The 14645-nt window shown below is 37.8% G+C and overlaps 1 long non-coding RNA gene across 1 annotated transcript in view, besides 1 other annotated feature; it reads left to right on the forward strand.

Moving 5' to 3' along the window:
- LOC105373153 (uncharacterized) overlaps nucleotides 1–14645 on the forward strand; it is a 350749-nt gene that overhangs the window by 83670 nt on the left and 252434 nt on the right. The gene's annotated exons all lie outside the window — the stretch shown is intronic.
- Nucleotides 7353–7852: an enhancer, noted in NCBI's record as "H3K4me1 hESC enhancer chrX:33835505-33836004 (GRCh37/hg19 assembly coordinates)". NCBI's record gives its function as "activates a minimal SCP1, AML or CMV promoter by ChIP-STARR-seq in primed H9 embryonic stem cells {active_cell/tissue: H9 hESC(primed)}" and the evidence as "EXISTENCE:reporter gene assay evidence [ECO:0000049][PMID:30033119]".

Here is a 14645-nt window from a genome sequence, read left to right on the forward strand (position 1 = left end):
GATTTTTGTTTCTTATGAAGTTATATATTTTTTTCTTTTCTGTATAAATAGTTGTAAAATTGGTGTCCTCACATGGGGGACTATCAATTGAGCATTCTATTCTGCCACTTTGCTTCCTCTCTCTCTCATATATTTTCTTGTTTGTATTTTTTTATTACATTCATTAATTTTTTAGTTCTAGAGTTCCCATGTGTTTCTTTTTTAAGATGTCTATTTCTTTGTTGAATTTCTCATTTATATCCTGAATTGTTTTTCTCGTTTCTTTGTATTATTTTTCCATATTGTCTTTATCTTACTGAGCTTTTTTGATAACATTATTTCTATTTTTTTAGGCATTTCTTTCTTGTTTTTCTTTTTTGGAGTCGGAGTCTTGCTCTGTCACCCAGGCTGGAGTGCAGTGGTGCAATCTCAGCTCACTGCAACTTCCACCTCCCGGGTTCAAGCTATTCTCCTGCCTCACCCTCCCGAGTAGCTGGGATTACAGGTGTGTGCCACCATGCCTGGCTAATTTTTTGCATTTTAGTAGAGATGGGGTTTCACCGTGTTGTCCAGGCATTAGCAGTAGCAGTAGCAGTGGTAGGTCAACCGTTGGGCCTCTGAGCAGAGCACACGAGCACCAGTAGTGGCAGCAGCAGGCTGGACAGACTATTCCAAGGCCATGAGGTGGTGCCTAAAGGAGAGTGCCAGAGACTGCACCAGTGGCGGTAGGCTGGGTAGACTGGTCACTTGGCCCCTGGGATGTGCATACAGTCACTGGATGTGGCTTGAATGGGCCTATTTTTAGGTCCCCAGAAGGTGTAGATGGGTACCAGTGGTGGTTGCTGGGCTGCATTAATCCCCAGGAACCCAGATAACGTTTGTGGGTGGTGGTCATGTTGAGTGGGACATACCTGTCCTCAAGCCCTTGAGAATGTGCAAGAGCACCAGCGTCCAGTGGCAGGGTGGATTTATCTCTAGGCCTCAGATAACATTTGTGGGCACTGGGGGGTGGTGATGGTGGGTGGAACACATCTTTCCTCATGTCCCTGGATCATGTGTACAGGTGCCTGATGTGGCAGGCAGGGCAGGTTGATCCCTAAGCCTCCAGATGGTTTACTGGGTCTCTGGTGGCAGTAGTGGTCATCAGTGGTACAGATTTATTCTTAGGCCACTGATCAGCATGTGTGGTCTTTAGTAGTGACGGATGGATTAGATTGATTCCCAGTTCCCCTGGCGGCATTTGCAGGTGCCTGGTAGTCCTGCCACTGGTAGGGGAAGGATTGCTATCAATGGCAGTGGTCCCAGGCAAACAACTCTCAGGATCTGGGGAGCATACACATTGGTTCCCTTTGTCCTGGAGGCAGCCTTCCAGATGGACTGAACCATCCATTACCCAGAGTGTAAGACACTGTGTGAGCTAGAGTGCTGGGGACCCTCCTGCACCACTGGATCCAGTTGGTGGTGTGATACTGCAGCCCTCTGAGTGTATGTGGAGAGATGTCAGTGGGGTTTCAGAAATGAGGAAATGCAGGGATTATTGGACCCTAGGGCAGGATGCAGTCTGGGGTGCTGGACTCTCAAAATGGCACTGTGCTGCAGATGCTTGGGTCTCAGGGGCTGTGTGGGACTCAGTGTGAGCTTTCTCTCTGGAACAACACCATCACGTGGATTCCACGCACCTCTGCGTACTAACCTTAGGGCCTGGAAGTGCTCTCCTGTGGCTACAATTCTAAGAATCCAAGGTGCGAATGTTGACGGCTGGAGATATCTTGCTTACCTTTTCCCAGCAATAGGGAGTTCCTGCTGGCTACAAGCCAATTCCAGTGGGGCTGGTTGCTTTGCTTCCCTCTTGTTCTGTGCCTCAGAGTTTCCCTGTCACTTCACTTTGGAATTCCAGTGTTCTCTCTTAGAAGCTCTATTTAATGTGTGGTTAGCTCACTGTTAAGTTGTTCTTTTTTGGAGAAGGCAAGTCCCGGTCACCTCTATTTAGACATTGTGAATCCCCCTCCTATACTGTGTTTTATCTATTTAAAGGAAACAACAATAAACTGTTAAATTAACTGCAGCTTTTCTTATCAATTTATTCTTGCTTATAAATCTACAATCATTTTTAATTAAAAAATCTTTTAAGGCTTTCATATGAATAGCTTTAAATTTATAATTCAATCAAAAGATAATAGACAAGAAAAAACAGAATGTAGTGTGATCTTTTTACATTTTTTATACTAAGTATGCCATATGTATTTGAGAAGTACATAGCAAATATCTTACTAATAGAGCTGTTAAGATTATGGTTTGTGGGTTCTGTTAGCCAAAGTTGAAACCCCACTTGGGTATTCACTGATTATATGAACTTACTCAAATTACTTCTTAATGAATATTTCTTTCTCCATCTGTAAAATAGTACCTGTCTCATAAGGTTTTTGTAAATAAGGCAGTCCATGTAATTTGTTATAATACTTGGTATGTAATTGATGTTCAGTAAATATTATTTGTTGTAATTTTTAAACATATCATCCTTAGGATAAACTCCAAAATTGTAAGGCCTTGAGTATTCTGATCTCTACCTATCATTTAATATATGGGAGTTTTATGTATTAGAAAAAGATCTAGATTTACATTGCAGAGATGAGAAAATTCAAACCATGTAGTGACTTAAAAATATTTTTTCTAAATTATAAAATATAAGTTCAAAGGGACCAAAATCTGTGAGAAAAGAGTTTGAATAAATTTTGGTTTAGTTTCCTGACTAAAACATTAGACAAAACCACAAATTATGGAAGAAATCCCCTTGAAAGTTACATTTAGGAGAGAAAATTTTCTGAACCTAGATTCATTTCAATGTTAAGGGACTTGTTTCTTGTTTCTAATATTACCTTGAGTGACATTTCTATCTAAAATTGACACTTATAATATCTAATTTTATTTGCTTCTAGGTGAGTTCTTGGATGAAGTGCATCCTTATAGCTTCTGGGGACTAATCTCAAGTCATCTGAATTTATTAACAAATCCATGATCTGAGATAAATGACTCTCTAGATTCATGCTATAGTTATTTGATAAGTGTTGACTATCATTAACCCAAAAAGCCACATTTTGGAGGAGCACAAACTTCTTGTAGAATTAATATGATATTAACATAAAATGCTTCATTTTATGGGGTCTGGTTCAGAAATGCATTGCTCTCCCATCTCCGTGATCAAATTGGACCATAAGTTACATGCTGGGCTGCTTTTTGTTGCTTTGGGATGCTGGTACGCTATTATCTCACTGCTAATGGTAGCCTTAGTGGCTTCCCCCGGTGTTCCTTCCAAAGTTTCCAGGCCATTGTTTTAAAAATATGTTTTGGTCTTTTATAGCAAGTGGTTGTTAACATGTTGTTTGTATAATAGAGAGGAAGTGGAACTTCACAGTCTTTACTGGTGGAGAGCCATTTTCAGTTGCCGCTTTGCTTATTAACAAGAAAAGATCTTAATAGTTTCTGAGAAAATTCAGTCCCTTTTACTCAACTTACAATCTCTGTGGGGTTTATAGAGAATCTTTTACAGAGAATGAAAATCTGTGTTTAAAAGAATGTAAAGAGGTTATGTGTGGGATTATAAATGGTATTTAAGTACATATTAGGCATGCTTTCACATTTATGTTTATACAGAATTCAAAAAAATAGTGCATTCAGTTTGCTGTATCCCATTCAAATATTTATCCCTTCGTGATTAATTACAGTTACAGAAATGACTACATAGTTTAAAAGGTTAAAAATGAAGAAAGATTGTCCTACGGATTTTTGGTACTAGTTCTTTGCATGTCTGGTAGAATTTGGCTGTGACTTCATCATGCCCATAGCTCTTTTCTGGATGGTAGGGTTTTTTTATTAGTGTTTCAATTTTAGAACTTGTTATTGGTTGGTTCAGTGGTTCAGTTACTTTCTGGCTCAATAATGGGAGGTTGGGTGTTTCCAGGAGTTTACCCATTTCTTTTAGTTTTTGCAGTTTGTGTGCTTATAAGAGTTGATAATTGTTTGAGGATTTTTTTTTTTTTTTGCTATGGGGTTAATTATAATGTAGCTTTGTTGTTTCTGATGTGCTTATTTGGATCTTCTTTTTTTTCCTTTGTTATTCAAGCTAGTAGTCTATTCTTATTTATTCTTTCAGAAAACAAATTTTGGTTTTATTGATTTTTTGTATTTTAATGTTTCAATTTTCAGTTCTTCTCGAATTTTGGTTATTTATTTTCTTCTGCTAGATTTTGGTTTACTCTTGTTTTTCTAGTTCCTCTGGGTGTGACATTAGGTTCTTAATTTGAGATCCTTCTATCTTCTTGATGTAGGTGTTTAGTGCTTGATATGGTTTGGCTGTGTCCTCATCCAAATCTCATCTTGAATTGTAAATCCCGGGTGTTGAGGGAGAGATGTGGTGGGAAGTGATTTGATTATGGGGGCAGTTTCCCCTATGCTGTTCTTGTGATAGTGAGCAAATATTCAGATATGATGGTTTTATAAATGGTAGTATTTTTCCGCACTCACACACACTTGTTCTCTCTCGCCTGCCACCATGTAAGACGTGCCTCTTCCCCTTCTGCCATGACTGTAAGTTTGGCCTCCCCAACCATGTGGAAGTGTGAGTCAATTAAACCTCTCTTCTTTATAAATTACCCAGCTTCAGGTATGTCTTGATAGCAGTGTGAAAATGGACTAATACGGTACTGTAAGCTTTTCTCTTAATACTGATTTCGCTGTTTCTCAAGGATTCTGTTATATCACGTCTTTTTAATTAATTTCAAATAATTTTTTGATTTCTGCCTTAATTTTGTTCTTTACGCAAAAGTCATTGAAGAAAAAGTTGTTTCACTTCCATGTAATTGTATGATTTTGAGAGATCCTCTTGGAATTGCTTTCTATTTTTTTATTGCACTGTGGTGTGAGAGTGTGCTTATTGTGATTTTATTTTATTTTTTGAAATTTGTTGAGACTTGCTTTATAGCCAAGCATGTGGTTGGTCTTAGAATAGGTGCCATGAGTAGATAAGAAGAGTGTATATTCTGTGTTTGTTGGGTGTAGTATCCTAAAGATATCTACTGGGTCCGATTGGTCAAGTGTTGAGTTTAAGTTCAGAAATATATTTGCTAGTTTTCTGCCTTGACGATCTAATGCCAGCACCTGTTATTTTTTGACTTTATAATAATGACCATTCAGACTGGTGTGAGACGGTATCACATTGTGGCTTTGATGTGCATTTCTCTAATGATCAGTGATGTAGAGCTTTTTTTCATATGATTGTTGGTCACCTATATGTCTTCTTTTGAAAAGTGTCTATTCATATCCTTTGCCCACTTTTTAAAGAGGTTGTTAGGTGTTTTTTAATAAATCTGTTTAAGTTCCTTATAGATTCTGGATTTTAGAACTTTGTCTAAATGTTTTTTCCCATTTTGTAGGTTGTCTGTGCTGTTGATAGTGTTGTTTGCTGTGCATAAGCACTTTTGTTTAATTAGATTCCATTTCTCAATTTTTTCTTTTATTCTAATTGCTTTTGGCATCTTTGTCATGAAACATTTGCCTGTGACTATTTCCTGAATGATATTGCTAGGTTTACTTCCAAGGTTTTTATAGTTTTGGGTTTTATATTTACGTCTTTAATCTATCTTGAGTTATTTTTTGTATCTTGTGTAAGGAAGGGGTCCAGTTTAAATCTTGTCCATATGGCTAGCCAGTTATCTTAGCACTATTTATTGAAAAGGGAATCATTTCTCCATTGCTTGTTTTTGTCAGGTTTGTCAAAGATCAGATAGTTGTAGGTATGTAGTCTTATTTCTGAGTTCTCTATCCTGTTCCATTGGTCTCTGTGTCTGTTTTTGTACCAGTGCCATGTTGTTTTGGTTACTGTAGCCCTATAGTATAGATTGAAGTCAGGTGGGATGATGCCTCCAGGTTTGTTCCTTTTGCTTAGGATTGCCTTGGCTATTTTGGCTCTTTGTTGGTTCCATATGAATTTTAAAATAGTTTTTCTGGTTCTATACATTGCTTTGAAAAGTATGGCCATTTAAACAATATTGATTCTTTTTATGAATGAGCATGGAATATTTTTTCATTTGTTTGTGTCATCTCTGATTTCCTTTAGCACTGGTCTGTAGTTGTCCTTATAGAGATCTTTCACCTTCCTTGTTAGCTGTATTCCTAAGTATTCTATTCATTTTGTGTCCATTGCGAATGGTCGTACATTCTTGATTGGGCTCTTAGCTTGACTGTTTTTGGTGTATAAAAATGCTAGTGATGTTTGCACATTGATTTTTATATCTTAAGACTTTGCTGAAGTTGTTTGTTAGCTTAAGAAACTTTTTGACTGAGACTATGGGGTTTTCTTGATATAGGATCATTTTGCCTGCAAACAGGGATAGTTTGACTTCTTCTCTTCCTATTTGGATGCCCCCTAATTTCTTGCTCTTGTCTGATTGCCCTGGTGAGCACTTCCAATGCTATGTTGAATACGAGTAGTGAGAGAGGGAATCTTTGTCTTGTGCTGGTTTTCAAGGGAAGTTCTTCCAGCTTTTTCCCATTCACTTTATGTTGGTTGTGGGTTTGTCAAAGATGGCTTTTTGAATTTTCAGCATTCTTGTGCTGATTCTTTCTCATCTTTGTGGGCTTATCTACCTTCAATCTTTGAGATCGCTGACCTTTGGATGGGTTTTTCTTTTATTTTCTCCTATTTGATTATCTTGAGTGCGTGATTGTGGCATAAGGTTGATTCAGCCAACTGGCTTTGTTTCTGGGAGATGTTAGAAGGCAAACACTCAGTTCCCAACTCCTGGGCTGTGTGCTCTAACTCTGGGGGACTTGTATCGAGCCCCGACTTTGTTCTCTGGCTCCTTGAGGTTTGGAGTCCACTGCGCTGGCAGTCCTAAGGTGCAGCAGCTTCAGCAGAGTGTTAGTGGATGTAGGGGTGGCTGCGTCACTGCAGGCATTAACCACAGTGGCACAAGCAAGGCAGCTGAGGGGGGCAAGGGGCGCCTTCTGGATACTGTGCGCTCTTGAACTGGAGGTGATGTTGCCTTGGGGCTGGGTGCTGGCCAGTACAGGTCTGGGTGCCTTCTCTGTGCCTCACAAACAGGAGTGATCCCTCAGGGTGTGAGAGGATCCTCTGTTCTCTTCAAAGTGTTAGCACGAGGGCTGGATGCTGGTGGAGGTAGGGCTGGATGCTGGTGGAGGTAGGGCTTGCTGGTTCTGTGCCTGCCAAGACTCCAACTGCAGTGGTGGTCCTGGGGGACAGAGGGAGGAGACTACACTCATGTGTGCTGATGGGACAGGTGAAAAAAAACCCACTCTTGCAGACACGCACCAGCTGCAGTATGGGGAGGGTACATCTGGGGTGGTGCACAGCCCTAGGGGCCGCCTTGCTGGAGCTCTACGCTGGTAAGGCATAGCCTGCCAGCATGGAAGCTATGGTGTGGGCCACTAGGGCACTCAAGACTGACCTGTAAGCAGGTGTGGCCAGGCTGGGGCCCTGGGAAGACCAATAGACCAAGAAGTGCTCAGGTCGGACCAGGCCCGTTGGATGAGCAAGACCGCTCTGCAGAGATTGGGTCTGACAGTTCCCCTAGGGCTAAAGTCTCCTATGGGAGCAAGTCAAGCCTATAGGGATGGCTATCGCTGGCCATGCTCAACTACAGACACTCCTGCACCAAACCCTCTACATCAGTGGCCTTGCTGTTCCACCAGTTCTCTAAGTAGTTCTCCCTACCACCTCAAGTGTCCATGGTGGACGATGGGTCTCCTTCGCAGGCTTCCAGAGGCCTGTGATGAGAGTGGGTTGCTCCTTGCCAGTTCAACTCACCCTTTCTCCTGAGGTGGTTGTGGTTCAAAAATGAATCCCAGTGTGTGGCAGCCCATGCAGGGTTTCCAACTTTCTCCCCCTTAATCCCAGCTCCTGTGTCTTTCCTCTGTCCACTTTCAGTGCCTTCCCTCTGAAGATCTGTTGAAAGGACACCAGTTGCCTCAGTCTCTCCATGGGAGGTCTTCCACTTGTCTGTGTCTAGCTGACCATCTTTCCTTCCCCCCTACTTTCTTGAGGCACAGAGTTAAGTTGTTTATCTGAAATCCTTCTTCTTTTTCAATGGTTGTAGTTACTGCTGTTAGTGTCCCTCATAGTACTGCTTTTGCTGCATTCCATAACTTTTGGTATGTTTTATTTATTTTTGTTTTCATTAGTCTCAAGATGTTTTCTAATTATTTTTGTGATTTCATTTTGTACATTTGTTGTTCAAAAGTGTGTTGATTAATTTCTATATATATGTGAATTTTCCAAGTTTCAACTATTGATTTCTAGTTTCATTTCACTGTGTTTGGAAAAGGTACTTGTTACGATTTCGGTCTTCTTAATTTGTTAAGATTTGCTTTGTGACCTACCATGTGATCTATCCTGGAAGATGTTTCATTTGCTATTGAGATGAATGTGTATTCTGTTGCTGCTCAGTGTAATATGTCTTTTGACCTATTAATATTTTTCAATCCTTTATTTCCTCATTAAACTGTTTTTTTATTTCCATTATTTAATTTTTGGTTTGAAATACTCTATTATTGTTTTACTATTTCTTCATTTAATTATGTTAATGTTTATATATTTGGGTTCTCTTATGTTAAGTGCATATATAATTGTTATATATTCTCAGATAAATGGCCCTTTTATCGTTATATTCTTGTAAGAGTTTTCACTTAAAGTACTTTTTGTCTAATAAGTATGGCAACCTGTACTCTCTTTTGATGCTATTTGCATGCAACAACTTTTTCCCTTTTACTTTCAGTCTATGTGTGTCCTTCAATCTAAAGTGAGTATCTTATAGACAGCATATAGTTTGATATTGTTTTATTCTTTTCCTATCAATCAACCACTCTACCTCTTTTGATTGGAGAGTTTAATACATTTACATGTAAAGGAATTACTGATAGGGAAGGACTTGCTGCATTCATTTTGGTACTGTTTACTTTCTTGACATAGCTATTTTCTTCTCCTCTTATTCTCTTGCTGCCTTCCTTTGTGTTTTGTTGATATTTTGTAGTGATATCTTTCCAGTATTTTCTCATTTTCTGTTCTATGCCATCTGTGAGTATTTTCTTTGAGGTTTCCAGGAACTTATAAAAAACATTTTATACTTATGACAATTTGTTTTCAGCTGATAACTATGTAACTACATCAGTGTACAGAAACTCTGCCATTTTACGTCTCCCCCACTTTGTGTTATTAACATCACAAATTACATATTTTTACTTTTTGTATTCAATAACATAGTTTTATAGTTATAATAATTTTATACTTCATAAGTTTGATGACAGAAATAAAACTGATTTGCACACATATATTTATGACATACAACATGTTGTTTCAATATACATATACGGTGTGAAATGATTATCAAAATCAATCAAATTAATGCAGTAATCACCTCACAGTTACCTTTTTTTCTTTTTTGTAGTGAGGACACTTGAGATCTACTCTCTTAGCAAATTTCAAGTGTACAATACATTATTGTTAAATATTGTTACCATGCTGTACATTAGATCTCCAAAACTTATAATAGAAAATACATATAATTTAACAACGTCTACCAGTTTACCCACCCCCTGACACTTGGCAAGCACCCCTCTACTCTGTTTATATGAGATTGACTTTATTTATTTATTTATTGTTTTGAGACAGAGTCTCGCTCCATAGCCCAGGCTTGAGTGCAGTGGCATGATCTTAGCTCGCTGCAACCTCTGCCTCCCAGGTTCAAGTGATTCTACTGCCTCAGCCTCACTAGTAGCTGGGATTATAGGCCTGTGCCACCACACCCAGCTAATTTTTTGTATTTTTAGTAGAGATGGGGTTTCACCACGTTGGCCAGGCTGCTCTCTAACTCCTGACCTCAAGTGATCTGCCCACCTCGGCCTCCCAAATTTCTGGGATTACAGGCATGAACCACCATGCCCAGCAAAGTTTGACTTTATTAGGTTCCATGTATCAGTGAGATCATGCATTGTTTGTCTTTCTGTAGTGGCTTATTTCACTTAACATAAAATACCCCAGTTTCATTCATATTGTCGCAAATGGCATGGTTTTCTTATTTTTATGGCTGAATAACAATGACTAATTATATATATATATATATAAACATATATAAACATTCTATTTATTTATCTGTAGAAAGATGCTTAGGTTGTTTTCATATCTTAGCTATTTTGAATGACATGGTTTGGATGTTTTGTCTCTCCAAATTTCATGTTCACATATGACCTCCAATGTTGGAGGTGGGCTTAGTGGGAAGTGTTTGGGTCTTGGCAGTAGATCCCTTATGAATGTCTTGGCACCATCCTCATGGTTATGAGTGAGTTCTCCTCCTGGTAGCTCATGTGAGAGCTGGTTGTTTAAAATGAGTGTGGCGCTTTCCCCCCTCACTCTTGCTCCCCTCTCTCTTTTGCTCCCACTTTCACCATTTGATGTACCTGCTTCCCCTTCACCTTCTTCCTCCATGAGTGAAAGTTTCCTGAGGCCTCACTAAGAGAAAATGCTGGTGCCATGCTTTCTGTACAGCCTAGAGAATGACAAGCCAAAACAAAAACTTTAATTTTTACCTACATTTATTGAGTCTCTTCGGTCTGGTAGAACATAACTGAACCTAGTCATTTCTGTAGAACTGTTAACTCAGTAATTTTTTTTTTTTTTGAGGTGGAGTTTCACTCTTGTCACCCAGGCTGGAGTGCAATGGTGCGATCTCTGCTCCCTGCAACCTCGCCGCCTAGGTTCAAGCGATTCTCCTACCTCAGCTTCCTGAGTAACTGGGATTGCAGGCACCCGCCACCACGCCCAGCTAATTTTTATATTTTTAGTAGAGGTGGGGTTTCACCATGTTGACCACGCTGGTCTCAAACTCTTGACTTCAGGTGATCCACCTGCCTCGGCCTCCCAAAGTGCTGGGATTACAGACATGAGCCACTGCGCCCGGCAACTCCGTAATTTTTAAATTCAATCCATAATTTTCTACATTAGGAAAGGTTTTACATTCCCTCTCCTTTTTTTTCTAAGGTGGTATTTAACTACAGGTGTAGATGACAGGCTCATTTAGAATCAAAGATGTATTCAGAGAGGAATTATCTGATTCTAGATTGTCATGTGTCCATCTCATGTATCCTTTGCAATAAATATCGTTCTGTATTGCTCTCAGCTGTAATCATTTTTCATCCTGATATTACCTAAGATAGTCATGCTATCTCTGAAATCGTAGTTGTAAGATTAATGCTGTTTTCTACTACAACATGACATTATTTCAACAATGAGATCCTTAGAATCTACCACCTAACTTCCTTGCTTGTTTCAAATCCTTTTTTTTTTCTTTGCTTACTTTTATGCCTTTCCTGGGAGCAGAGAAAAATCTTGCTTCTCTCTTCTGTCACGCTGCAGCCACAAAAAGCTTCACAAACTGTCTCAGAGCAAACTGATCTTTCTAGTAAAACTTGACCTCTTTGCCTAATTTGTCTGCTGTTACACGATGCTGAAGTGTAGTAAAGGCTGGAGTCTTGAAGATCTCTAAGTCATATGATAAACAAAGCACAGATTTCTACTCTTTGTAAATTGTATTCTATTTGGAAGTTCTATTCCCCTCACCTTCCTCAAAACTTGAATGTGCTTTAAGTGAGGCATAATTCAAGATCCTTTTAAGAAACACTCTCCAGCATCTAATATGTATGTTTCTTTTCTTACTCAGCCTCTGCCCCCTCTTGCCAAGCCAAGCAGTTTTAGTGAAATGTCTGCCGTGGCCTCCCTTCCATTGGACAGTGGCAGCCAAAGACTAGCTTGAGTAGTGACCAACAATTTGGGAGACAAAGTTATTGCAGGTAGATGTGCACAGACACATGCACACATAGGTAAATATTTCAAAAAATAACTTTGTCACAGCTAACCCTATTCTAATATTGCTATGGAACATACAATATGATAAACACATAGTACATATTCAGTATGTTTGTGAATTTAAAAATGTATTGGTTCTGCTCTCTTCAAGACAGAGATATTACATTTGAATTCATGTAAGTTCATTTTTTTGCATTGATTTACTATGAATTAAAAGTAAAACAAATAAGGAATGTATACCAGAGAAATCGTCAACACCTTGGGAGATACTAAGATGGATTTACATGTAAAATCTGCCCTCAATGAGTTTATATGCTAATAGGAAGAGACATATTTGTTCATAAATAACTCTAACACAAAGCAGATTGTGTGCCATAATAATAAGACATATTAATAGCTACAATTTATTAGACTTTAATATCTGCCAAGCTCCATGCTTGGTACTTCATATACATTAACTTATTTATTGCACATAACAACTAGTGATGTTGTTGTTATCATTTCAGTAGAAATAAAAAATCAGAGAAAGATAAGATTAACATGAGTGGGGTGGGATTAAGACCTTCCTCATTAATGAAGCAACATTTAAACTAGGTCTTTATTAAAATGGGTGGGAAACTTAGAGGTGTATTTGGAGAATACAATGTTATTGGCATCAAAATAACAAGAGATTTGTGAGGGGTTAATATGATTAGGAATGTACTTTGAAGAGATTTCTGATAGAAGTTTGAAGATCAGAGAGTAAAAATAACTCTCTCATCAAGAAGAATAAAATTAAATGTTAAATGCATCTTTAATGAATAATTGGCACATTAACTGAAAATTGCAGATTTTAATAACTCTATAAATTCTTATAACTTAAGCAAGTCTACAAATCCATAGTCCAGTTATGCATCAGTGCTCAAGGTACAGTGAAATTAGAAGCCAATGACATGTATGTCCCCTTTTAAAAAGCCGGATATTTAAATGTCTTTTGCTATCAAACACATAAAAATCTTCAAAAATGCCATTATTTGATAATTACATTATATCTATTAAGTAATGAGTATTTGATGACTATATTTCAATCCTTGAAAAAAGAAAGAAACTATAGTTATCTAATAATGTGATTGATTCACCTAATCCAAGGGACCTCTCTTTTGAATGAATCCTATAATTATTTATGGTCTTTAATCGAGCTTACATAGACACCAATTTTTGTCACCTCAACTTTATGTTATAAATGTGTTAATAGATAAGAATCTGGAGCAAAATAAAAAGATCAAAGATTTTACAAGTCTAGGCGATAAAATTTGATCTGAACTAAAAATCAAATTTAAAAGGCACTCTTTTAAGCAATGTTTCTGTCCATTATAGCTGAGATTTAATAATTAATTACTGATGTCTCCATAATTTTCTGATAAGATTATGGGGCTAATAAAAGCAAAATTACATATTTTTGTAATTGTATAAGTCGATTAGCTTTCCACAGATAAACACACCATCTTTTCTCAGTGCTATTGATGAAAATTATGCTCAACAAACCACTGATTTCATTAGATATTGATAGGAATTATGTTAGAAAGAGATTCTCTGGACAACTTAGTTTGAGAAAGTACTAACTTCAAAATTACTGCGAATTACTTCAAAATACCAACTTCAGATTTTCATTTTGTTTTGTTTTTATTATAAACTTTCTCTTCACGTTTAAAATGCCCATATGCACTGCAAATTTCTAAGAAAATAATATAGTATGTAGTATTTCTTAAAATTATATCACAGAATCCTTTATTATGTAAACTTTTTACCCAAATATTAAGCTATAAAATATATTTGAATATTCCGCTGTATGCCATACAATAAAAATTCTTGTAATATGTGTTTTTTAAAAATTTTTATTATAAGTTCCAGGGTACATGTGCAGGATGTGCAGGTTTGTTACATAGGTAAACGTGTGCCATGGTGGTTTGCTGCACCTATCAACCCATCACCTAAGTATTAAGCCCAGCATGCATTAGCTATTTTTCTCGATGCTCTCCCTCCCTCAACCTCACCTACCAACAGGCCCAAGTGTGTGTTGTTACCCTCCCTGAGTCCATGTGTTCTCATTGTTCAGCTCTCAGGTATAAGTGAGAAGATGCAGTGTTTGGTTTTCTGTTCCCGTGTTAGTTTGCTGAGGATAATGACTTCCAGCTCCATCAATGTCCCTGCAAAGCACATGATCTTATTTCTTTTTATGGCTGCATAGTATTCTTTGGTGTATCTGTACCATATGTTCTTTATCCAGTCTATCACTGATGGACATTTGGGTTGATTCCATGTCTTTGCTGTTGTGAGTAATGCTGCAAAGAACATATGTGTGCACATATCTTTATAATATAATGATTTATATTCCTTTGGATATATACACAATAATAGGATTGCTGGGTTAAATGATATTTCTTGTTCTAGATCTTAGAGGAATCATCACACCATCTTCCACAGTGGTTAAGTTGATTCACATTCCCACCAACAGTGTAAAAGCATTCCTATTTCTCTGCAACCTTGCCAGCCTCTGTTATTTCTTGACTTTTTAATAATCACCATTCTAACTGGCATAAGATGATATCTCATTTTTGTTTTGATTTGCATTTCTCTAATGATCAGTGATGTTGAGCTTTTTTTCATATGTTTGTTGACCACATGAATGTCTTCTTTTAAGTAGTGTCTGTTCATGTCCTTTGCTTACTTTTTAATAGGCTTGTTTTTTTTCTTGTAAATTTGTGTAAGTTCCTTGTAGATTCTGGATATTAGACCTTTGTCCAATGGATAGACT

Source organism: Homo sapiens, chromosome X, assembly GCF_000001405.40.
Source record: "Homo sapiens chromosome X, GRCh38.p14 Primary Assembly".
In the NCBI taxonomy this organism is placed as follows: domain Eukaryota; kingdom Metazoa; phylum Chordata; class Mammalia; order Primates; family Hominidae; genus Homo; species Homo sapiens.